Source organism: Homo sapiens, chromosome 9, assembly GCF_000001405.40.
Source record: "Homo sapiens chromosome 9, GRCh38.p14 Primary Assembly".
Taxonomy (NCBI): domain Eukaryota; kingdom Metazoa; phylum Chordata; class Mammalia; order Primates; family Hominidae; genus Homo; species Homo sapiens.
The window spans coordinates 74,987,212-75,012,374 of record NC_000009.12 but is presented as its reverse complement, the minus strand read 5'-3'; the positions used below and the strand labels follow the sequence as shown (position 1 = coordinate 75,012,374).

Below are 25,163 nucleotides of genomic sequence, written 5' to 3'. Positions count from 1 at the left end.
GCAGAGGTTGCAGTGAGTCAAGATCATGCCACTGAACTCCAGCCTGGCCAGTAGAGCAAGGCTATCTCAAAGAAAAAAAAAAAAAAAAAACCAAAAACTTGAAGACCCTCAGTACCTGGGCTCTTAACTGACCCAACATATTAATGTACATTCAGAGCTCAGATATAAGTGATATTCAGTCACATCTCAAATGGTCAAGGATATATAGTGTTTGGCATCAAGACCTTGAAGCTCACATTTGCTAGCAGAAAAATCTCAGTTCCTTTCATCGGGTATGTGTGCAGGAGAGTATCTTTAATTTAAATTCTTAGAAGTGGGATTGCTGCATAACACATTGATTTCAGTTGCTATGGGTCAGGAGTCTGGGCTTGGCTTAACTGGTTCTTCTGTGTAGGAGCTTACAAGGCAGCAATCCACGTGTCTGCCGGGCTGTGTTTTCACCTGGAGACTTGACTGGGGAAGAATCTGTCACTCATATTTCATTTTGTTTAATTGCAGTTGTAGTAGTGAGGCAGAATTGTTTTCACTGTGGCTGTAGGACTGAGGGTCTTAGCTGCTCTCTGTTTGTCAGTTGGAAGCCTGCCTCATCTCCTAGAGGCAACCCACAGTTCCTTGTCTTTCCCAAAAGGACCACTTCATCAAGCCAGCAAGGAGGGTGTCTAGATCAAGCAAGCTGTCAACCGTCTTACAGTGTTGAACAGTCACAGAGCTGGGTGTCAAGGCTCATGTCTATAATCCCAGTACTTTGAGAGACTGAGATGGGAGAATCACTTGAGGCCAGGAATTCAAGACCAACTTGGGCAATGTAGTGAGACCTCATCTCTACTAAAAATTTGAATATTAGGTGAGGTGGCATGCACTTGTATAGTCCTGGCTACTCTGGAGGTGGATGCCTGGCAAGGGGATCATTTGAGCCCAGGAATTCAAAGTTGCAGTGATAAGATTACTGCATTCCAGCCTGGGCAACAGAGCAAGACCCTGTCTCAATAATAATAATAATAATGACAATCACAGGAGGGACATCTCATCACCTTTGCCATATTCTGTTGGGTAGAAACAAGACATGGGGACCAGGAGGTAGGGAGCGTGGGAGCACCACTACAGGGTCTGTCTGCCACAGTCATTACTATGTTCTTCTATAAGGGTTGCACTGTTTTGTCTGTCTACTGGCAGTGTATCAAAGTGCCTGTTTATGCACAGCCCTGACAAATACTGTAGTTTTAAGCCTTTGACCTTTTGCCAACCTGATGGGTGGGAAATTATATGTTGGCATAGTCTTAATTTGCATTTCTCTTATGATGAGTGAAACTGAACATCTTCATATGTTAAAGGGTCATGTTACATGTTTTTTTTTTTGAGAATTATATATTTATGTCTTTTGCCCTCAGTTTTTTATTGAGGTGAATTGCATATAACAAAAGTAATCATTTTAAATAATTCAGGGACATTCAGTACTTCACAGTATTGTACATCTGTCACCACTGTGTAGATCCAAAACATTTCATCAACCCAGAATAAAACCTCATACCCATTAAGCAGTTACTCCCCATTCTCCCCACCATTCTCCCCACCCTGCCTCTACCTTTATTATTTAGCAGTTTGACTGTGAGGTGTCTTAAATGTGGTTTCCTTTGTATTTATCTTGGTTAAGATTTGCTAATGTCTTGGGGTTTAGGTAGATCTATATCATCAATTCAGAAATTCTTTGCTATGTCTCTTCACATTATTTCTCTATCATTTCCTCTACTTCTTTCTCTTCTGGTATTCCAGTTACATGTATGTTAAGTATCAAACCATTTCATGTCGTCTCTTAGGTTTCACATGACTCTACCCACTCCTTCTCCTCCCAGCCCTTTATAGTATAGTTTGGATAATTTCTGTTAACCTAACTTCAACTTCACTGATTATTTACTATGCTAATCTGCTGATAAGTCCTTTGAAAGAGTTCTTGGCCTGGGGTGATAGCTCACACCTATAAACCCAGCACTTTGGGAGGCTGAGGTGAGTGGATCACTTGAGGTCAGGAGTTCAAGACCAGCCTGGCCAACATGGTGAAACCCTGTCTCTACTAAAAATACAAAAAATTAGCTGGGTGTGGTGGTGGGCACCTATAATCCCAGCTACTTGGAAGGCTGAGGCAGGAGAATCCCTTGAACTCAAGAGGCAGAGGTTGCAGTGAGCTGAGATCATGCCATTCTAGCCTGGGCAGCAAGAGCGAAACTCCGTCTCAGAAAAAAAAAAAAAAAAAAAAAAAAGAATTTCTTCCTTTTTTTATAAGAGAGAAAGAGTTTTTTTTATCTCTTATACTCATTTTTTGATTTTTTAAAAAATTTCTAGCACTTACATATACATGCACACCCCTACACATATACTCTGTCTGTACCCAAATTCCCTATCTCTTTGTATACATGATCTACCTTTTGCACTACGTGCTTTAACGTACTTTTCATGGTTATTTTAAAATCCCTACCTAATGATTCTTACATTCTGTTTGTGCGACTGTTTTCTTGAAGGCTTCCTTATAACAATAAGTTCCACATTTTCTTGCTTCTTTGCATGTTTCTTAATTTTTTTTATTGAATGCCAGGCATTGTATGTAAAGGAATAGTAGACAATAAAGTAATATTAATGACCAGAAAAAAATCATTTCTCCTTAGTCTTATTAGGCCACTAGTGGGCTGGGGGGTGGGGAGAAGGGTGGTGCTGACTGAATCATTTAAGTGATTTTAATTTGTAATATATTTGCATGTATTAGCTGCTTCTACTAATCACTTATTTGTCCATAAGCCTTGCATCTAGAAATATGGCAATATAGGAATATTACTGCTTTCTGAAGTTTCATATGCTTCTCACCTTTTATTTTATGTTTGATGATTTTAATATTTTTCCTGCATCAGAGTAGTAGGAATATCTTTGCAACATTAAGAAATACTTGGTATGGGTTACTTACTTACACCGAAAAGAAAAAAAAAATACTTGGGTTGGGCATGGTGGCAAACACCAGTAGTCCCTGAGTCAGGAGGACTGCTTGAGCCCAGGAGTTCAGGGGTGTAGTGTGCTGTGTGCTGTGATTGCACCTCTAGTAATAGCCACTGCACCCCAGCCTGGGCAACATTGCAAAGACTTACCTCTAAAGTTAAAAAGAAAAAACTTTTTAAAATAAGGTTTTTATAGTTTTAATTCCTAAGTTTAGGTCTTTGATCCATTTTGAGTTAATTTTTATATGTGGGTAAGGTAATAATCCAACTTTATTCTTTTGCATATGGATATCCAGTTTTCCCAATACATTTGTTAAAAAAAAAAAAAAAAAAAAAGACTGTCCTTTCCCGATTGAATGGTCTTGGTAGACTCGTTGAAAATTAGTGGACCATGTATGTGGGTTTTTTCTGGACTCTATATTCTGTTTCATTGGTCTGTGTGTTTGTCCTTATGCCATAACATACTATTTTAATTGCCATAGTTTTATAAATTTCAAAGTCAGGAAGTGTGAGTCCTCGTTTGTTGTTTTTCAAGATTATTTTGGGGGCCTCTTGTAATTCTTGTGAATTTCAGGTTTTTTCATTTCTGCGAAAAAGTTTGTTGGAATTTTCATTAAGGATTGTGCTGAATATATAGATTGCTTTGGGTAGTACTGAGGTCTTGACAATGTTAAATCTTACACATTATCACAGTATGTCTTTCCATCTATTTAGAGCTTTAATTTCTCTCAGCAGTGTTTTGTAGTTTTCAGTGTATAGGTCTTTCACTTTGGTTAGATTTATTCATATGTGGCCAGGCGTGGTGGCTCATGCCTGTAATCCCAGCACTTTGGGGGGCCGAGGCAGGTGGATCACGAGATCAGGAGTTCAAGACCAGCCTGGCCAACAAATACAAAATGTAGCTGGGCGTGGTGGAGTGCACCTGTGATTCCAGCTACTTGGAAGGCTGAGGCAGGAGAATTGCTTGAACTCAGGAGGCAGAGGTTGCAGTGAGCTGAGATTGTGCCATTGCACTCCAGCCTGGGCAATAGAGTGAGACTCCGTCTCAAGAAAAAAAAATTTATAAAGATTTATTTGTATGTATTTAATTCTTTTAAATCAAACTTGTCCAACCCGTGGCCAGTGGGCTGCATGCGGCCCAGGACAGCTTTGAATGTGGCCCAGCACAAATTCATAAACTTTCTTAAAACATTATGAGGGTTTTTTTTTTTTTTTTTTTTTTTTTTTTAGCTCATCAGCTGTTTTTAGTGTTATTTTATGTGTGGCCCAAGACAATTCTTCCAGTGTGGCCCAGGGAAGCCAAAAGATTTGACATCCCTGTGTTAGATGCTATTATAAATAGAATTGCTGTCTTAATTTACTTTTCAGAATTTTTGTTGCTAATGTAATAGAAGCACAACTGAATTTTGTGTGTTGATCTTGTACCCTGCAATCTTGCTTTATTAGCTCTGTTAGCTTTCTTAGGGATACTTTGTGGATCACATTATGCAAAAAGAGAGTTTTTACCTTTTCTTTTCCAATTTGAATGCCTTTTGTTTCCTTGTTTCTGTTCTTAGGGAGAAAGCTTTCAGTCTTTCACCATTGAGTAGCTGTGGGACTTTCGTAAATACCCTTTATCGTGTTGAAGAATTTTCTTAGTTTTTTTTTTTTTATTATTTTTATTTTTTTGAGACAGGGTCTCGCTCTGTCACCCAGGCTGGAGTGCAGTGGCATGATCTTGGCTCTCTGCAACCTCTGCCTCCTCGGTTCAAGTGATTCTCCTGCCTCAGCCTCCCGAGTAGCTGGGATTACAGGCGCCCAACACCACACCTGGCTAATTTTTGTATTTTCAGTAGAGACGGGGTTTCACCATGTTGGTCAGGCTGATCTCAAACTCTTGACCTCAATTGATCCACCCACCTTGGCCTCTCCAAGTGCTGGGATTACAGGTGTGAGCCACCACGCCCAGCCAAATTTTCTTAAAGTTTTCTAAAGGTTTTTCTGATAGAGTGCTGAATTTTGTCAAATATATTTTTTGCATCAGTTGAGATGATATATATGTTTTTTCTTCCATTAATGTGATATATTTCATCAATTGATTTTCTTGTGTTGAACCACCCTTGCATTCCTGGGATAAATACCACTTGGTCATGGTAAATAATTGTTTAAATAAACATTGTTGTTTCCAAAAAGATGTTATATTCTTAAAGTTTCTAGCTGGTATTCTCTCTCAATATATTCAGTGCCCTGCTTTATAAAGTAATAGATACAAGTTTAATACTTTCTATAAAGTCCAGGTATACCTCAAAATTCAAAATATCTGTAGGTTTTAATTGATAAGGCTTTTAATAGAAATGTACCAAAGTTTGAGTGAATGTTGGAGGCTGAATGTGAAATGTTTATATCAACATCATTTCTGGCACTTAAAACATGACTTTGTTTATACTCAGTGATTATAGAATCATGTATGATACCATTAATTAGTATAACAGTGTCAGCAATACTAAAAAGGCATGGCATTATTAGATAATTATAAGATAATTAGTGAACTAGCACACACTGTTCCTTTTCCGTTGTTATTATTACTTGACAAAATGTAAACTGGTGAGGAAAGGATGAGTTAACTCTAAATGGTACTAATAGGTTATTTTTTAAATAAAAATAATTTAAAACCGTTCTGAATAACTAAAACATTTTGCAGGATTTAAAACTTAAAAGGTTTCAAGGGATATATAGTCTCCTTTCCATAACTGTTCCTCATAACTGTTCCTCAGTTACCCAGTTTCCTTTCCTGAAAGTAATTGTTATAAAAGTGGATAGGTATATATGAACTTTAAATGAAGTACACTGAAATGTAATATCTATTACACTGTTTTTTGTTACATTTCTTCCTATGTTATTTGTTTTACTTACTTGATTTAGATTGATTTCCTTATAGTAGATAAGGTGAGCTATCAAAAAAACCTAAACAGGAAACCTAATAAAACACAGTAAAGGCTGCATCAATATTAAAATCGTAGCTTTGTCAGAATAAATTAAACCCTAGAGCCTGGAAAAGGGGCATTAGGCCAGCTGTGGTGGCTCATGCCTGTAATCCCAGCACTTTGGGAGGCTGAGGTGGGTGGATCACTTGCAGTCAGGAGTTCAAGACCACCCTGGCCAACATGGTGAGGCCCCGTCTCTACTAAAAATACAAAAATTTGCTGGGTGTGGTGGCGTGCACTTGTAATCCCAGCTACCTGGGAGGCCAAGGCAGGAGAATCACTTGAACCCGGGAGGTGGAGGTTGCAGTGAGCCGAGATAGAGCCACTGCACTCCAGCCTGAGCTGGAGACTCTGTCACAAAAAAAAAAGAAAAGGAAGAAAAGGGTCATTAATTGTAGCCCTTCAGAATCCAGGTTGATTCTAGATAAATTCTGGTCAACTTTGTGTCTTTCAGGTAAATTTCTAGGACTCTGTTTATGCCACAGTAAGTACATGGGGAATTTAATGTCTTTATACTCAGGCTGGAGTTAACACAAATTTATGTCAGCTAGCCTTTTATTGTGTGTGTGTGTGTGTGTGTGTGTGTGTGTGTGTGTGTGTGTGTGTTTTAATTTCACTGAAGGCCTTTTCTAATTGAACTGCCTATAGAAGATCATATACTTGCCGGGCTCGGTGGCTCACGCCTGTAATCCCAGCACTTTGGGAGGCGGAGGTGGGTGGATCACGAGATCAGGAGATCGAGATCATCCTGGCTAACACGGTGAAACCCTGTCTCTACTAAAAATACAAAAAAATTAGCCGGGCGTGGTGACAGGTGCCTGTAGTCCCAGCTACTCAGGAGGCTGAGGCAGGAGAATGGTGTGAACCCGGGAGGCGGAGCTTGCAGTGAGCCGAGATTGCGCCACTGCACTCCAGCCTGGGTGACAGCGAGACTCCGTCTCAAAAAAAAAAAAAAAAAGATCATATACTTAATGAAATATGTGTAAAATTAACTATATTTGTGGTCATTAAAATATTTTTCCTAAGGAAACACATATATCAGTTTCTCCAATCTGTCTATGTTTCAAGTTTTTAATATGCCTGAGTTTGCAAGCACAAGCAGCTTTGAAGCCACAGATCGACTTGCTTTTGTATAGAGTCTGTTTGTTAATTAAGGAAATGCTGTTTTCGTATCCTCTGGTTTTTGTTTTAAATAGTATTTGAACACTACTCTAGTGAGCAGTTGCTCATTGAAATTTATGATATATATGTTTTTAATTTAAAGAATGAGCTTAGGGTTTAAACCTTTTTCTCACGTATGAACATAAACATAATGTAATAACTCTTCTTAATTGATGGTCAGACCTGTATGTATTGAAATTTAAAAAAAAATTTTTCCAAGTGAATGTCTAATAATTTAAATATAAGAATTCAGTGCTGTAAAGCTTATAGTAGGTAAGGAAATATAGATTCTTAAGTTTGCATCCTATCTGGAAGGAAGGCTAACATGTAAAATCACATTTTTTGAGTCTAAAAGTTGCTGGACTATATTTTTTAGATCTTAATTTCATTAGCCCATTCAATTTTAGAAGACTTTGAAGTGATTTGTGGGGGAAAATCTGTTATGTCTTTGCATTTTAATATATATACACAAACACTCCAAAAAGATACTGATGCACTACTGACTGGTTGAATTCGTTTTTTCTTTTATATAGTTGGGCATTAGGAAAAAAATACTCTGAGCTTTAACGAAGCATTTTTTTTCCACTTAAGATAAAATAAATAATGTAAATTATAGTTCATGAAAAGATTCTTTTAGCTAGGAGAACTCATTTTTAAAAAGAAAATGGAGGAAATTGGAGAAAATGTAGACTGCCAAATAGTGCAGGTGGTAGTTCAGAGACTAAAGATAGATTTCTCCCTCATCCTGAGACCAAAGACAGGTATGTGTTTCATATTTCTTTCAAGTCAAGATTTCAAGTGCTTACAGATCTAGAAGAATAACACAGTAGAAAAACCACTCAGCATTCATAACCCAGTAGACAAATCCTGTAAATAGATCACAGAAAAAGAAATACAGGACACTCAATCTCATAGGGAAATGCAAATGTAAAAACCACGTTAAGATGCCATTTTTTACTTATTTTATTGCAAAGATTTAAAAGATAACTATTAGTGCAGGTGTGAGGAAACATAAATATGTTGCTGGTGGAAGAATAAATTAGCAAAAAATTATGTAGAACAATGTGGCTTATTTGTCAAAATTCAAATGCATATCTTGGCCAGGCGCCGTGGCTCACGCCTGTAATCCCAACACTTTGGGAGGCTGAAGTAGGTGGATCACCTGAGGTCAGGAGTTCAAGACCAGCCTTGCTAACATGGTGAAACCTGTCTCTACTAAAAATACAAAAATTAGCTGGGTGTGGTGGCACGGGCCTGTAGTCCCAGCAATTTGGGAGGCTGAGGCAGGAGAATTGCTTTAACCCTGGAGGCGGAGGTTGCAGTGAGTCAAGATTGTGCCACTGCACTCTAGCCTGGGCGACAGAGCGAGACTCCGTCTCATAGCAAAACAGAACAAAACAAAACAAAAAACAAATGCATATCTTGATTCTTGAAGTTCAATTTAAGGGAAGCTGTTCTACATATATATTTCTGCATGTGAAAGTTATTTATGCCACTACATTAGTGTAGTGTGGGAAGTAAAATTTTTCAAAATAAAAAGTTATTCATGCTAAGGGTATTCGTTTTAACATTATGATAGTGAAAGATTGGAAACAATATAAATATCCTTAATTAGGAGATTTTGATAAATTATGTTACAGTCATGCAGTGAGTTAAGGAAGCTCTGTGTACTGCTGTGAAGGAGATTCAGGGGTATTGTATTAGATCAGGGGTTGGCAAATGTTTTCTTGAAGTGCCAAACAGTAAATGTGTTAGGCTTTGCCGGCAATGTCGTCTCTGTTGAGACTGCTTAGCGCCTTGTTGCAGGAATGCAGCCATAAACAATTCTTAGATGAGTGAGTATGGCTGCGTTTTAGTAAAACTTCATTTACAATGACAGGTGACTGGCCTGCAAGCCATAGTTGCTGTACCTGTGTTAAGTGAATGACGCGAAGTGAAGAACCTTGGTATGTAAACTATAATAGAACTGTGAATGAATTATTGAAAGCATAGAGAAGAGAGTTCAGGGAACTTTGCCTGGGATATTTAGGAAATATAGATGAAGTGATAATTTATAATAATAAGGTAATTGAGTTTCTGTGGGTAAGAGCTCTAAAGAAAGTCTTCTGGGATCAGTGAGAAGTTGTCTGGCTGAAATAAAGAGTTCTTTGTTGGGAGTTGATGAAGAGGTAAGTTAGGAGATGCTAAACACTCCTGATTTATAGTCAATTTTCTATGATGAATAAAAAAATTTTTGGCTGGGTGTGGTGGCTCATGCCTGTAATCCCAGCACTTTGGGAGGCCAAGGTGGGTAGGTTACTTGAGCCCAGGAGTTCAAGACCAGCCTGGGCAACACGGCGAAACCCCATCTCTAAAAATAAAAAAATTAGCTGAGCATGGTGGCACACACCTGTAGTCCCAGCCACTTGGGAGGCTGAGGCAGGAGGATCGTCTGAGCCTGAGAGGCAGAGGTTGCAGTGACCTGAGATGGCACTATTGCACTCCAGCCTGGGCAACAGAGCAAGACTGTCTCAAATTTAAAAAAAAGAAATTCAATACTAGCTCTGTTAAACCTTGACATTTTGCCATATTTGCTTTAGATCTCTTTTTCATATTAAAAAAAAATTTTTTTTGACTGCCTCTGCAGAGCAGGGCTATGCCACAGGCAGTGTGCTCAGGGCAGCCATATTTTTTAAAAGAAGCAATTTTATTTTTATTTTGAAAATTTCAATGTAATAAAAGATTATTAATGAGATGTTTTTCATTCCTTTTTGTACTGTCTTTAAATTTGGTGTTCATTTTACACTTACAGCACGTCTCAATTTGCAATAGCCACATTTTAAGTGTTCAGTAGCCACATGTAGTTAGTGGCTTTTACTGTACTGTACTATGATTCAAAGAGAACCACTGTAGGTACTTAAAAGTTGTATTTACTTCTACCACTAGGGGTCAGCCAAGTGTCATAATGACCCAACAAGACAGCATTTTGTGTTGGAGTTTTAAAATTTACAACTGCAGTGCAAAGATCGTTCTGTGTGTAACAAAGGAAACCTCTGTCAAGAGTAATGTTTACTGCTGGTGAAAAAGCTGGAGCAGAAAGGTTGATGGAAGTGTGATCTATGGCCTCTTTAGACACATGGACTCTGTCCTTACAGATGTATCCCTTCTCCGTTCCTGTTTGTCTTGAATAAACTGTTGAAACTTTTCCTCCTGTTATTAGGGAGGTCACATTGTAGTAAATGTACTACTGCTTCTCCACATTTGGGCCTTATTAACTAGGTAAACTTGTTGGCTTGCTTGTTTTCACTAAGAATCTCAAGTAGGCACCATTTGATTACTGAGCCACATATTGTATGCCTTTCTATTCTGGCTTTAAAAAAAAAATTCAGCCTGGTTTAAGGTTGTCTCACCATTAAGGTCTGTATTAGATTTGTGTTTCTTTTTCTCCACAGAAATGACCTCATAGAAATGCCCTAGACTTCATACGGATTCATAGCAGAAATTCCCACTTAGAGTGCGTTAGTTTCATGCACATCACAGTTAGAGGAACTTTTCATTATGCTGTTAATATCCCTTGTGTAAAGACCAAATGAAGAAAATCTAGCTAAGAACAAAGATTTAGGGAAAAATTTTCTCCATCTTACCCATTCATTGCATAGTTCCTGATCATTTTTTCAGTTCTAGAGGGTTTGTTTTAATGCATTTCTTACATGTCCACTTCCTCTTTGTCATAATGCCAGTAATTTACATCTATATTAGTGTCTGTTAACTCTTAAGATAGGACTTTGATATATTCTTCATTCTGTGACTTGATGGGTAGCCTTTCAATAGCAGTTTTAATACAAGGTACTGTTAATATATTTTCTGCCATTAGGTTGAGGTGGAGAGTTCTATGGTTCTGTTTAGTTAAGGAGAATTTGATAAAAGCAGTCATTAAGTTAACTTTCTGTAAGTTAGCAAAATAATTGTTGTTAACATTATGTCACAGCTTTCCCTTCAGGGTAGCATAATTTCTAACTCCTGCATGGTAATATTTTACTGGGGTCATCAGCCATTTGGAAATTGATTGCTGGTTATTTTTATATAAAGATTTAAATACTATATGAATTTACTTCCAAATCCTTTTGCTTTCTGTTGCATGAGTTTGATCAGATAATTAAAAAAAAAATTCTAAACTGAGAACAGCCACTTGCTGGGGTAAGGGTAGAAATGCATGTTATGATTGGACAGATGGGAACTGAGAAAAGAAAGGTAATTCTCCAGAGTAGGGGTTTCGGTGGGTCTGGTAGGGAGTGAGAAATGAGAGAGCGTTAGGTCTGAGTAGGATGCCATCATGGCAGTTCCCTTATATAAGGAATAGCACAGAGTCCTAGAGCTATGAGTTTTCAAAAGCCCCATAGTGTTCTTTCTTATTTTGAAGTGGGACATGCAAAGGTTATATGGGCTACTAGTAAAGTGCCCTGTTGCTGCTTGGAGCATGCCAAACTTAAAGGCCACATAGTTAAAGATAAAAAAATCATTAGTAGGAGTAGATTTGGAAATTGGATTTGATTTGTGAACCAAATTTAGGAAATACAGTAGTGAAGTTTCTTTTTACTTCCTGACATGATATTAGCTGATTGTATACATTTTCCTTTGGCTTCTTATAAGACTACAATTTTAGTTTCCTCGGGATTATATTGATTTGCCAAAATTCCTGAGAAAAAGCCTTGTTTTGGTAAAACTTTTAGTGGTTTGAAAGTGGAATGATGGATCTTACGTGAAGGAAATATGTAATGGCAGTGTGGTGCTAGTAGGTAGAGATCAGTTTGGTTGTGAACCTCTGGTTTGGTGTAATATATTTGTTATCATGTATGTTTAATTAGAGGGCCGTTTCCCATTTTCCCCATGAAAATATCCCCTCCCCCAAATTCTTCTGTCAACTAAAATATATAGGGATTTAGAGATATACCTGACACATTAAACTCTACATCTGTTTAATCTAACATAAACAATTGAGTTACATATAAAATTTAGAAATAAAGTTATGTTGTATTTATTGTCCCATATGATGAAGTACTTTTGTTCAAACTCTTCATATTTAATTGGGATCCCTTTGGAATAATTTGTCTTTCTAAGATAGTTGTTCAGGGTGACAGCTATTAGGAATATGAGTGACTTTATAAGTCTTGAGATGTAAGGGGACTCCTTTTTTCTGAAAAATAATTTTTGAGGGGTAAAACCCTCATCTGATATCGGAACATACATAATAATTCCTTATACCTTTTATTTTTGATATTTAGAAGTATTTCTTGATTGTGAGAAGTCAGAGTCTTAGCTTATTCTTATTGAGTAAATGAGTAAGTTTTTAGTTGTTAATGTGGATTTTGTCTTTTCCTTTTTTTCTTTGAGGGGTTGGACATAATTGCCTTATTTCATTTCAGGGATCCTTCTAAAGTAAATATTCTGGTACCTGGTGCTGGACTAGGAAGACTGGCCTGGGAAATAGCTATGCTAGGTTATGCTTGTCAAGGAAATGAATGGAGTTTTTTTATGCTCTTTTCTTCCAACTTTGTACTCAACAGGTATTTAATTTATTTTTTGCTGGAAATAGTAATTTCTCAGAATCAGATTGACTTACCTATTTTCTTGAACAATTTTGAATTTGAAGATAAGTACATAGCATTTGATTATTATATATATCACAAATGTGTCTTATGTTAAAATCAAAGTACTTACACAAATTATCACTTGAACCAATTGCCTAGTTATTAGAGTGTTGAAACAAGATGGGTAAGTGACTTTATAGAAAGTGACTGGGCATTCCATGAAATGATTTCTGTACAAAATCTTCAGGACTAAGTATGAACCAGGAAGGAGTATTTCTAAATTTATTCCTTAAGCTTCTTTACTTCCTTGTTTCTTTAGTTAAATAAGAGTTTAGTTTAGCAATTATAACTTTTTCTCCTTAATCAAGTTCTTATAAAATGGCCAAGTATGCTCTCATGACTGAGTTGGAAAGATCTCTCAGAACTTCTGTGGCCTCTTTTGGAAGGCAGTGGAAAACAATTGTTATTTTTAAAGCCAGAAGATGTACATTGAGTAGCTGCCTTGTTTAAATAATATGTTGTCTCGGATGGCAGTATGAGTTTTAGGGGATTGGTGAAAAAGGGAAAAAAGAAGAGGGTTATACAAAAAATAGCAAACTGTTTTAGTTGAAACCAGTACCATTTTAAAAAACCTCGTTGGACTGTTATTACTTGGTTTTGAAGTTTAGAAATACATTTTTAAAAATCTGAATGAACAGCACATTTATATCTCTGAATTTACTTTTTTTTTCTGTCTTTAATCCATTGATTGGTTGCTCATCTACATGTATATGTACATTTTCAGATAATTAGGGAAGCTGTAATAGTGACTCTTTAAATATTAATTATATATGCAAATCTTCAATTAAACAGTATATTTTTAGTATTTAAAGTGGATTTTCTTGGTAAAATATTTAGTTAACACCTGATTTTATACTCATATTTTGCAGATGTTCTGAAATTAATAAATATAAACTTTATCCTTGGATCCATCAGTTTAGCAATAACCGGAGATCAGCTGATCAGATTCGACCCATCTTTTTCCCTGATGTTGACCCCCACAGTCTTCCTCCTGGTTCTAACTTTTCTATGACAGCAGGAGATTTTCAAGAGATTTATTCAGAATGCAGTAAGTCCAAATCAAGCGTTTAAAAAGTCTTGTCCTTTATTCTAAATTTAATGAGCTAGTTTTATCCTAAGCCAAGGTTTAGATCATTCATTTTGATGGTAGAACATAAGGCATATGTCAGTGTCAATTTAGAATGTTTTCAAGGTCGTGTACAAGGCAGTGATAGGAAATAAGAAGTGTAAGATATCTACAGTCAAGAAATTTAGAATCTGTTGGGCCCATTAATACTAAGAGATACCATGTAAACAAAGGTTAAATGAGTAATGAATACCAAAAAAATGAAAGGTTATTAGTGTAAGAAGGAAGCTGTTCATAGTGAGGCTATGACTTGAAGGTTGAGAGAATAGCATTTGAGGCAGACAGAAGTACAAAGATATGAACAAGGTGATTGGGGATGGCAGCACAGCTGTACTGGCAGGGAAAGAAAAGATTTAATGGGAGATTTAATGAGATTTAATAGGAGCTATTGCTAGAAAAGTGAATTTGTTCCAGATCATGGAGGACTTGTATAGTCAGGCTGCACAGTTGACTTCAGCCTGGCAAACTGTTGAAGAAATCTGAGCTAGGCAGGAGAGAAAGGGAGATGGTAATAGGGAAAGTGGAGAGGGAGATTGGCACTAAAAGGAAAGCAAAATAGAATACCGAGGGTTCAGCAAGATCATTGAGTCAATAGGTATTTGTTGAGCACCTACTAAGTACTAGGTATTTTTCTAGGTGTCAAAAGAGAACAGTGAACAAAACAAAATCCCTGTCCACAGAGAACTTCCAATAGAGAAAGTGAGGCAATAACAAATACAATATTGTAAGGAAGAAAAAATAAGGCAGGGAAGACGGGTTACAGAGTGACTGGGGAGAGGCTGCTGCTTTATATAGAGTTGTCAGGGAAAGCCTTTCTAAGAGTAGAAACTAAAAAAAAAAAATGTCTAGTAGAGAACCTTGAAAGAGTACACAGACAAACCACTGAGATATTTGAAGGCAAAATTTTGCAGATGGGGAATGGCAAGGGAAGAGGATCAGGGAGTAGAGTGAGTGCTTGCTCTGCTCAAGGAGGAGCTAGGCTGTAGTAAGCAATGGGTACAGTGGTGAGAGGTCAGCCTCGAGAGGGTTTGATGAGGCAAACTTGTTGGCAGGCCATAGCAAGGACTTGGAATTGTACTCAGAGAAACAGGAAGCCATTGGAGGGCTTAAAGCAGGGATAGCAACAACATAGATTGTTTTTATTTATTTATTTATTTTACAACATAGAAAGTTTTTGTTTATTTTTCTCTGAACTCTGAGACTGGGACAACCTGTACTCTGAAGGAAGAAAGGGAGAGATGGAAGATGTTAGGTGTTGTGGATAAGGAATGAAATAATGGAAAACATCACTTAGGCAAGTAAAAGTCCCCTTTTTCTGGAGCAAGGTTTGAGAGAACAGATGATGAAGGTAGTCCTCCATGGGATCAAGTGCCTTTATTGCACCAGCATTTGTATAGACACCATACCTCCTAGAGGCAAACGGTGTTCTCTACTGGGTTCCCACCCACTGCTTCTGCCTGCCCCTGGCTCCCCTTTTTCCCTGGTAATTATTCGAAGTTGTGGTAGATGTTGAAGTATTTGGATGTCATTCATTTCTCAGTTGGCAACTGGTGCCTGCAGTCTTTCTGAAACCTGCCAGAATTGGTGGTTAACACTAGTTTAAATTTGAATGACTATTATTTTGTTTTAAGTGATTTTAAATGAAGGCTAGAAGTTGAATAGAGGATAAACAAAACTCTAACAAATACCATTTGGTAATAATATGTAGAGATTAGATTATAATATTAGTGTTATTGGGGATGATTTCCAAATTGATTACTTAATCAGATTATTGATATCAGTATTTCCCATAAATGACTGTTTGGTTACTGTAATTATAATGTTGATCAGAAGTTTAGCTTCTGTATCTCTGTCAAATATTAATACTCTGTAAAAGGTAACTGGCAGATTTAAATAATTAATTAAAAGAAAAAAGCAAAATAACATAACAGATGCAGTAATTTGATTTTTCTTCATTAGATACCTGGGACTGTATTGCTACCTGTTTCTTCATAGACACAGCTCACAATGTAATTGATTATATTGATACAATATGGAAAATACTCAAGCCAGGTGGAATTTGGATAAATCTAGGTAAGTTTTTTAGTATTTACTAAAATTTTGTATATTAATCTGAGTACTTACAGCTGTATTACATTTAACTTCACAGTCTCAAATGTGCATGAACATTAGAATTATGTTGTAAATGTTTTAAAACCACTACAGTTTCCTTTAGACTGCATCCTGGTGGTGATCCCTCCAAAGGCAGTGGAAGCTCAGAAGTTGTATATTCACACTTAGGTCAGTCTCACAGTCATTGTAATTTCAGTGTATACTAATTGTTGATCTGATGGTAGGTAATCATTCCCTCATTATCACCATCCCACATGCTGAGACAGTGGTCCGTTCTGTTAGGAAGAGAGTGTTCTCTTTTTCTTTCTATAATGAAGCATGCGGGGAGATTTTACCTCTTCCATGGAATCTTCCTCCCTAGTACATCCATATACTGGGAAGGGTGTAGGTGTGATAACTTCTGTGATTACCTTGAGTTTAAGAAAGAATAGAAACACAATTTTTTTTATGCAAAATTTTTTTTTACTGCATTCTACTTACTACTCGATGTTAGAAATTAAATGTTGACTATAACATGGTCCCTCCAGTCCAGAATCTAAAGGAAATTGCCATTTTACTCCTTTTTAAAATAAAGGGGGTATAATGATAATATTCAGGTAGATATACATGTATTCTTTCGTGAGATATATAATCTGTGTTCAGAAAGACATCATGACTAGAACATAAAGGTTTTCAAGATAAGGATTATTATACTACATAAAAGGACATAACGTACATGGTCTTGAGCCCTTGGCCTTCCGGGTGGGTCTAGTTTTGTGACTGATTTCTGACACCTACTCTCTTTTTAATTTTAATTTACCAGAAATTTTGCCATTTGGGACTAAGCCCTGGAGGTAGTAGTAAGTCTTTTGCAAACTTCTCTTAAGAATTCCTTAGGACCAGATGAAAGCAGCTGTACAATGCAATCATAATAAAATAAATATCCCAAACTGTAAGTCTTCTTTAAAAGTAGTTACCTTGGGAAATTTTTCCCAAGGAAAAATGGAAAGATATTACCTACTGGGTATTTGCTTACTGTGGGTTAGGTACTGTGTTGGTCCCTTATAAATACCTTGTGGAATCTCAAAGCAGCCCTATATTGAAATGGCACTATGTTATAGTTGAAGAGACTTAGAGTCTTGGGTTAAATAACTAGCAGAACAGTCCTGTAGCTTACATGTGGCAAAGACAGGCTTGAAGCCCAGAGCCAATTTCTTGATTACCCTCAGTTAATTTGTAAGTTAGCATTAACATGACCCTGTGTTTATATAATTAAATTTTTTGACCCCCATTACTGAGTTATGGTAAGGTTTTATGTATTTCCAGAGCATGTGACTTTCATAGAAACAGCTTTTTTTTTAACATTTGTTTTATTGGTTTATGAATATTTTATTAAGTTATATAATACAATAATTGTAACTACCTGAAGCACATAAAGTTGGCTCCTGATAAGTATACTGTTTGATAAGAGTAGATGTACTATAGTGTGACTTATGATCTGTCATGGGCATCAGAAGTAATGGAGCATGTTGGTTAACAGGAAGTCAATTAGGAGAGCTAATTCCATTATGGAGTCTCAAAACAATTTTGAAAATTGTAATAATGGAGAAACACAGTCCTTAAAAATAGTTATTTGGAAGGTTAGTACTTTATAAAGTATTAACTTACACATCTTTTGCATGTATAAGTTAAAGAATGTAAAAAAAAAAGTCTCAGAATCAGCTTTCTTTTAAATGTTACTGTGTTCTGGGCATCTAATCTGTGTTTTTCATTTTTTATGCCATGTACTCATTTTTGACTCCATATTCCTCCTACCTAATCTCATGGCTTTTCCTACTCTTTGGATTCCCAATCTGTATCTCTGGTCCAAACATCTCTCTTGTGCTCCAAGCCAGTATGTCCAACTTGGGTGTACCACAGATACTTCAAAATCCTTGTGTCTCAAGACCAGCCTGGGCAACATGCCCTGAGACCCCATCTCAAAAAAAAGCCAAAACAAAACAGAAAATGATTCCATGCCTCCCAATATCTTTTCTATTAATCATCTACTCAGGTTACCCTGAAGAAAAATACTGGGAGCCTTTCGTTACCCCTTTTATTAGGTCACTCAGGCTACCATAACAATACCACAGATTGGGTGGCTTAAATAACAAGTTTATTTTCTCACAGTTCTGATGACTGGAATTCCAGGTGCTCACCAGGTTGGTGTCTAGTGAGGGCTCTTCCTTTGATTTGCAGGGGTTACCCTCTTGCTGTGTATTCACATAGCCTTTCTTTGGTTGTGCATAGAGGGAGAAGGAGTGAATGAGAGCATGAGTGAGCTCTTTGGTGTGTCTCTTCTTATAAGGACACTAATCCTATTGGATGAGGACCCCACCCTTACGACCTCATTTACCTTAATTACTTCCTTAGAAGTCCTACTTTCAAATACAGCCACACTGGGGATTAGGGCTTCAACATGTGAATTTGGAGGCAGGGGGACACAAACAGTCAATAGGACCTCTCTTTTTCCTCGCTGTTTGTCTCTAGTCAGTCTAAAAGTTGTATCTCCTAAAGCTACTTAATCGCTCTTGAATATCCTTCTATTCCAGGGTTTCTCGATTGTGGTTTTGACATTTGGGCTGGATCATTCTTCAGTGGGAGTGGTGAGGGAAGTGGGGGTCTGACCTGTATAGTGTAGGATGGTTAACAGCCTTCCTGGCCTCTAAGACTCCAGTAGTACCTCCCAGTTTTGACAACCAAAATGTCTTTAGATATTGAAAAATGTTGCCCTCCGGGGGTGGAGGGTGTTGGCAGAGTCATCCCCAGTTGAGAACCATTGCTCCAATTTCATGGTTTCTTGCCTGGATTAGCATTAGGATTACTGTAGTAATTTCCTTAAGGACGCCCCTGCCTTCAAGTTGTCTTCGGCCCTTTTCATTTCTCCACATAATCATCAGTGACCTTCCTAACATGCAAATCTGTTCCTGTAAGACTCCCTGCATGAAATTCTAGCTTTCTGGAAAACCTAAACTCTTCAGGATTATGTTTTTTACCTTCAGGATTATTTTTTACCACCCCTTCTCTGACCTCAAGTGCCAGTCCTTTGACTTAGCCCTTTCTTTCTCTTCTGTTTTCCCTTGGTTAGTCCTTATGTGTTCTTAAACACTTAGCTCAGGTGATCCTTTCGGGTTGGGTTAAGTATTCTGTATTTCTTATGTTCTAAGAGACTCTGCTGTAACATATACTTCAGTTTGGTATTAGCACCCATATGCTTTTGTTTCCACTGCTAGTCTCTAAGCTCCATAAGGGCAAAGATCTAATGCTTCCTAGTCACCTGGTACAAAGCCTGGCAAACAATGGGTATTAATGACTGTTACATGTATGTATGAATGTATTGTTTCAAAATTTGAAAAAGGGAACATACTAAGATGTCTCGAAGAGATGATGAAGTGCCATCTATATTGGTAAATTCATAACATTCTTATGGTTTTGGCTTTAATTATATAGACCTGGAGGCTTAATTTACCCTGTAAACTGAGAGATCAACCTCTTGGGGATGATTTTACCCTAACCCTGCTTAGGTAGACTAGAACATCAATATATTCATATATAATGGGAAATGTAATGGCCAGCCATTCTGGAACAAATGACATTGGAGGTAAAATTATATATGAAAATGTTGCCCAAACTGCATGAAATCAGATTTGGTGGGGATCATTAATTTACAAATGCTTTAATTAAGGAGGATTTGATGGACTCTTTAACACTACCCAGTTTAAGGAAAGCTAGTAAGCCTTTTAAGGGAACTATTATGCATATGTCCTTTGGGTAAGGCTATGATTTTGGCAAAGAACAAAAGAATGCCTGTGAATTCCCTTTTTCAGTTTTTCATCCTGACCAGCACTCCTTAAACACATTTATTTATAATTTCTTCTAAAAAGAAAGTGTGTGTGTATGTATCCACTGATAAATTTGGGAGTCAGGTAGTGGAGGGCAGGCATTTAGCTACATCTGGAAGAATTAATAAAATGAATCTAACTACATCTGAAGAATTAAAATGTAACTACATCTGGTAAAAGTACCAAAGGAGATCTTTGTAAAGTGTACTGAAAGATAGGTCTTATCAGATTTTAGAGCATTATGAAGCTACAGAATTTTTTTTTCTTTTTTTTTTTTAGATGGAGTCTCACTCTGTCACCCAGGCTGGAGTGCAGTGGTACCATCTCGGCTCACTGCAACCTCTGTCTCCTGGGTTCAAGCGATTCTTATGCCTCAGCCTCTCAAGTAGCTGGGGTTACAGGCGTGCGCCACCACACCTGGCTGTTTTTTGTATTTTAAGTGGAGATGGGGTTTCACCATGTTGGCCAGGCTGGTCTTGAACTGCCGACCTCAGGTGATCCACCTGCCTCAGCCTCCCAAAGTGCTGGGATTACAAGCGTGAGCCACTGTGCCTGGCCTAGAATTTTTTAAAACGAGATTCCCTTTAAAAGATAGATGACTGAACACATACAGCCCTTTCCTCATTATAGTAGTAGTAAAAATATAAAAAGATATAAAACACATGGACAAAGAATGGCAGGCATGTTACTGGGGGACAAAATAATGTGCCAGTTTTTAGAAGTTGGGGTAGATAGGTAAGTTTTGCGAAGAAAAACACATGTGAGAGCCACCTTACCCGAATAACTCTGGAAAACGAGGTGCTGTATGGAAAAACCTAACTTGAAAATCTGTATATATTGAACAGTTGACTCCTCTATAATCAAGATGCCTACCTTATATGCCCATTTCCACTCCATGCTCAGGTGAGAGACCATAAGTTTAATTCTCTAGAAAAAGTAAATAGGAAAGGAGCAGGATTTAGGAAAGCGTGTCCTCATATAGAATGGGGGCGAAATGTAGGGCAGAAAAGAAGGGGATTAATTAAAAACTTTGGAAAATGCTCAAGCAGTGAACGTCAGCCCAAGCCATCTCCAACCCCTACCCTGCCTATAAAACGTACCAAGGTTTGGCCGGGCATGGTGGCTCACACCTGTAATCCCAGCACTTTGGGAGGTGAGGCAGGCGGATCACGAGGTCAAGAAATTGAGACCATCCTGGCCAACATGGTGAAACCCCGTCTCTACTAAAAATACAAAAATTAGCTGAGTGTGGTGGCGCACACCTGTAGTCACAGCTACTCGGGAGGCTGAGGCAGGAGAATTGCTTGAACTTGGGAGGCAGAGGTTGCAGTGATCTGAGATTGTGCCACTTCACTCCAGCCTGGCGACAGAGCGAGACTCCCTCTGGAAAAAAAAAAAGAAAAAAAAACTTACCAAGGTTTGAATTCCAGATGTTTTGCACAGATGCAAGTCACATTTCTTGGAGTGGGCATGTCAATATCACTATATGAGCTTATTTTAAAATTAATAACTGTTTCTTGTATCTTTTTCTGTCTCTTAAATCTTTATGCCTAACTTTTTAGATTTTTCAGCCTTTTTGTGGCAATCTTTATGTTTTAGGTGTGTCTCTTACAAACAGCCTACAGTACATTTTTACTATCCAGTCAAACAATCTTTCTCTCTTAACCAGAACTTTTAGAGCCTTACAGGTGTAAATGGTTTAAATCCGCCTGTCACAGATTTGGCAAGTGGTTTGGCAACCCCCTTTAAGCTAGTTCCTGTTCTTTCGACATATCCCTGTCACTGTTTGGTACCTCCTTTGTGAAACAACCAGATATTCCAAGCCCATCTTGTACTTTGTCTGACCAGCCATTATTTCCAAGGATTCCTAGTTCCTTTTAATGGGGAATGGTTTGTAGAAATGGAAAATCTAGTTCCTACCACCGAAGTGGTATTTTGTCTAGGCCTTTTTGGCAAACAGGGTAGGAAATATATGTATATGTCCGTCTGTAAAAATCATGTATATGCGTGTATGTAAAAATCATCAAAGGAGGGCCTTAAGAAAAACTAAACACACACACATACATACACACAAACATACAGACAAAATCGTAAGTTCATACTGATAACTTTAGTTCCAATGCAACACTCAGTATAAAATACTAAGGTGGCAGGTAGCTTTCAACACTTAGAATATATCACACCCAGTGGCCTCTAGTTTCCGTCTTTGCTGTTGAGAATTCAGCTTTTTAAAATGTTGCTCCTCTGAAGGTATTCTGTTTTTTTAAGATTTTTACCTTGTAGTTTTATCAGGTCTAATATTACATCTAGGTGTGGAGTTCTCTTTTTAATACTGTGCACAGTTTGTTAGGCTTCTTAAGTCTATGAATTGACCTTATCAGTTGTGAAAAATTCTCAGCTTTGCGGGGGGATCCCCTCTCACCAATCATAGGTTTAGCATTAAAATATGTAACAATAGCCATTATTTCTTCACATACTTCCTCTGCCTCATTCTTTTTCTCTGTTTCTTCTGGAAATGCAATCAAATATATTTTAGAACTTCTCATGGTAGCTTTCATATATCTCAACCACTTCTCTTGCTATCTTTCTCGCCATGCTGCACTCTGGATAGTTTCTTCTGACCGATAGTCTTTTATTTGAAAATACTGAGCATATTATTTCTGATAATTCTGACATCTCAAGTCTTTGCAGGTCATTTTCTGCTTTCTCTTGCTTTTCTTGGTTCTTGTTCATGATTCCTTGTTTCTCTGTGCTGTTGACTTTGAGTGTTTATTGGGGATTGTTCATGAGAAATCGCACTTTGGATTTCTTAAGGCCTGGGTTGAAGTGTTTTTCCCCAAAGGAATTTGCATTTGCCACTTTTAAAGCATCAGATCTTGCAAGAACTCAGTATCCTGAGAACAGCATGGGGGGAGCCACCCCTATGATCCAGTCACCTCCCACCAGGTCCCTCCCTCCATGTGGGATTATAATTTGAGATGAGATTTGGGTGGAGGCACAAAGGCAAACCATATCAGCAGTAAACTATATTTTTAGATTAAAAAAATTCTTTAAAGGGGGAACAAAGAGAAAACTACCCAGCAATGAAATAGGCTGTACAACATAAATATGCAAGTTATTTTAATAATAAAAAAACTGGATGACGTAGCTCATGCCTGTAATCCTGACAACTCCTGAGGTCAAGCCAGGCAGATCACTTGAGGCCAGGATTTCTAGACCAGCCTGGGCAACACAGCAAGACCCTTCATCTCTAAAAAAAAAGTTTAAAAATTAGCCAGGTGTAGTGGCCTGTGCCTGTAGTCCCAGCTACTTGGGACCTGAGGTGGGAGGATCACTGGAGCCCAGAAATTCAAGGCTGCAGTGAACTATGCCTATGCCATTGTACTTCAACCTGGGTGACAGAGCAAAACTCCAACACTCAGTAAAAAAATGAAAAAAAGAATAAATGTAAACAACCTATATACAGAAAAAAATGTTCATTCTCACTGTTAAGTAAATAAACATAAATGTGCTACCATTTTTCACCTATCATATTCACTAAGTTTTTAAATTTGCTTACTTAAAGCTTAGGTAAGTACAGTGAGATGGGATATGCTCTTGTTCTGTTAGTGGGGATGTAAAATGATATGACTTTCTTCTAGAAAAACAGTAACATGTTATAAAATAGTGTGTGGGAAAACCTTAAATATTCATACATTTAGTCAGGGGTTGGCAAACTACAGCCCAATTTGGCCTGTAGCCTATTTTTGTATGGCCCTACCACTACAAGTATTTCTTACATTCTTAAAGGGTAATGGGGAAAAACACAAATAAGAATATATGCTAGACACTGTAAGTGGGACACAAAGCCTCAACTATTTGCCATCTGTCCTGTTACATAATTAATCCACTATTACCTATGTTTATTAGATTAATTATACTTCTAGAAGTCTGTCAGAGGCAAATAATCAGATATGGGCGGACTAAAGACTGATGAAATGGACAGACATACTCAGCAAGAACTTAGAGTGAACTTATATTTCTAACAGTAATGGAGTGGACAGTCATAAGACATTCATACAGTAAAACTATTTTCTAGAAATAATGAAATAGAGAAATGTTCCTAATGAAGTATAAGATGTAAAACTGTATATGGAATATACTGTACATCAAGGAAAGACTGCAAGGAGATAAATATTCAAGTGCTTACTCTGAATGTTAGACTTATAGGTGATTTTTTAATTTTTTAATGCTTTTTCATGTTATCTCAGCTTCCTAGTTTTGATCTTATAATCAAAGAAAAAAACATATCTTTGCTCCTTCTGTTATGGCCACTAAAAGAATATGAAGAAAGCTGCGTGTGGTGTTGCATGCCTGTAGTCCCAGCTATTTGGGAGACTGAGGCAAGAGGATTGCTTGAGCCCAGGAATTCTAATCCAGCTTGGGTAATATAACAAGACACTGTCTCTAAAAAAAAAGTTAAATAATTAAAAATTAAAAAAGAAAAAAAGAACGAAGAGACATGAGAGTTGAGAAAATAAAGAACCCTTTGAGGAATGTGTCTCTGTTATTCATCTTCATATATATCCAGTGCCAGACATTAGCTAGGTGCTTGGTAAACATTTGTTTAAAGAATGGGCAACTAGGTCGTGAATATGAAAAACTGCTCAGCCTCAAAGAGATGCAAATTCAAATTATATATAATTTTCCCCATATCAAATTAGCAAATATTTTGTTTAATAAAAATTCTTGTTGTGTTTTTTTTTTAAGTTGGATTTTTTTGGAGATATAATTGACATATAATAAAATTCACCCTTTTTACAAATGTACAGTTTGATGCATTTTGAAAACTGGATAATTGTGTAACCATGGCCACTATCAAGACAGGGAATCTTCCCATTTCCATCACCCCAAAATGTCCCCTTGTACTCCATTCTCTCCTCTTACTCCTAATACCATGCTGTCACTACTTTGGATTCTGTTACTATAGTTTTCCCTTTTCTAGAATGTCATATAAATAGAATCATACAGTATGCTGCTTTTTGTCTCTGGCTTTCTTAGCATAACACTTTTGAGATTCATCATTTTGTTGCATGTACTGTTGTGGTGGTCTTTTTTTATTGTTGACTAGTTTTCCATTTGATATATTACATTTTGTTTATCCATTCACTGGTTGGTGGACGTTTGGGTTATTCCCAAATTATTATGATTAAGAATAAAGTTGCATTAAATATGAGTATAAATCTTTGTGTGGCTGCAAATTTCCATTTATCCTGCGTAAATACGTACCTAACAGAATTGCTGGGTCACATATGGTGAGTGTATCTATAACTTAGAAACTGGCAAGGTGTTTTCCA

General features: G+C 37.3%; 1 protein-coding gene and 1 long non-coding RNA gene across 6 annotated transcripts in view; one reads left to right on the top strand and one right to left on the bottom strand.

Annotated features, from left to right (window-relative positions):
• CARNMT1 (carnosine N-methyltransferase 1) overlaps positions 1–25,163 on the top strand; it is a 47,641-nt gene that overhangs the window by 16,056 nt on the left and 6,422 nt on the right. For 2 of the 5 annotated variants that reach the window (NM_152420.3, NM_001320497.2), the window contains exons 4-6: positions 12,505–12,645; positions 13,599–13,777; positions 15,815–15,928. In NM_152420.3, the coding sequence (NP_689633.1) occupies positions 12,505–12,645; positions 13,599–13,777; positions 15,815–15,928 (434 nt within the window). The other 3 variants (XM_047422766.1, NR_135282.1, XM_011518223.3) reach the window with 3 other exon arrangements.
• The window catches only part of CARNMT1-AS1 (CARNMT1 antisense RNA 1), a 44,418-nt gene continuing 34,247 nt past the window's right edge, over positions 14,993–25,163 (bottom strand). The window contains exons 3-5 of the long non-coding RNA NR_121183.1: positions 21,090–21,210; positions 20,701–20,754; positions 14,993–16,377 (exon numbers count right to left, since the gene is read on the bottom strand). This is a non-coding gene — a long non-coding RNA (CARNMT1 antisense RNA 1). The remainder of the gene's footprint in view (positions 16,378–20,700; positions 20,755–21,089; positions 21,211–25,163) is intronic.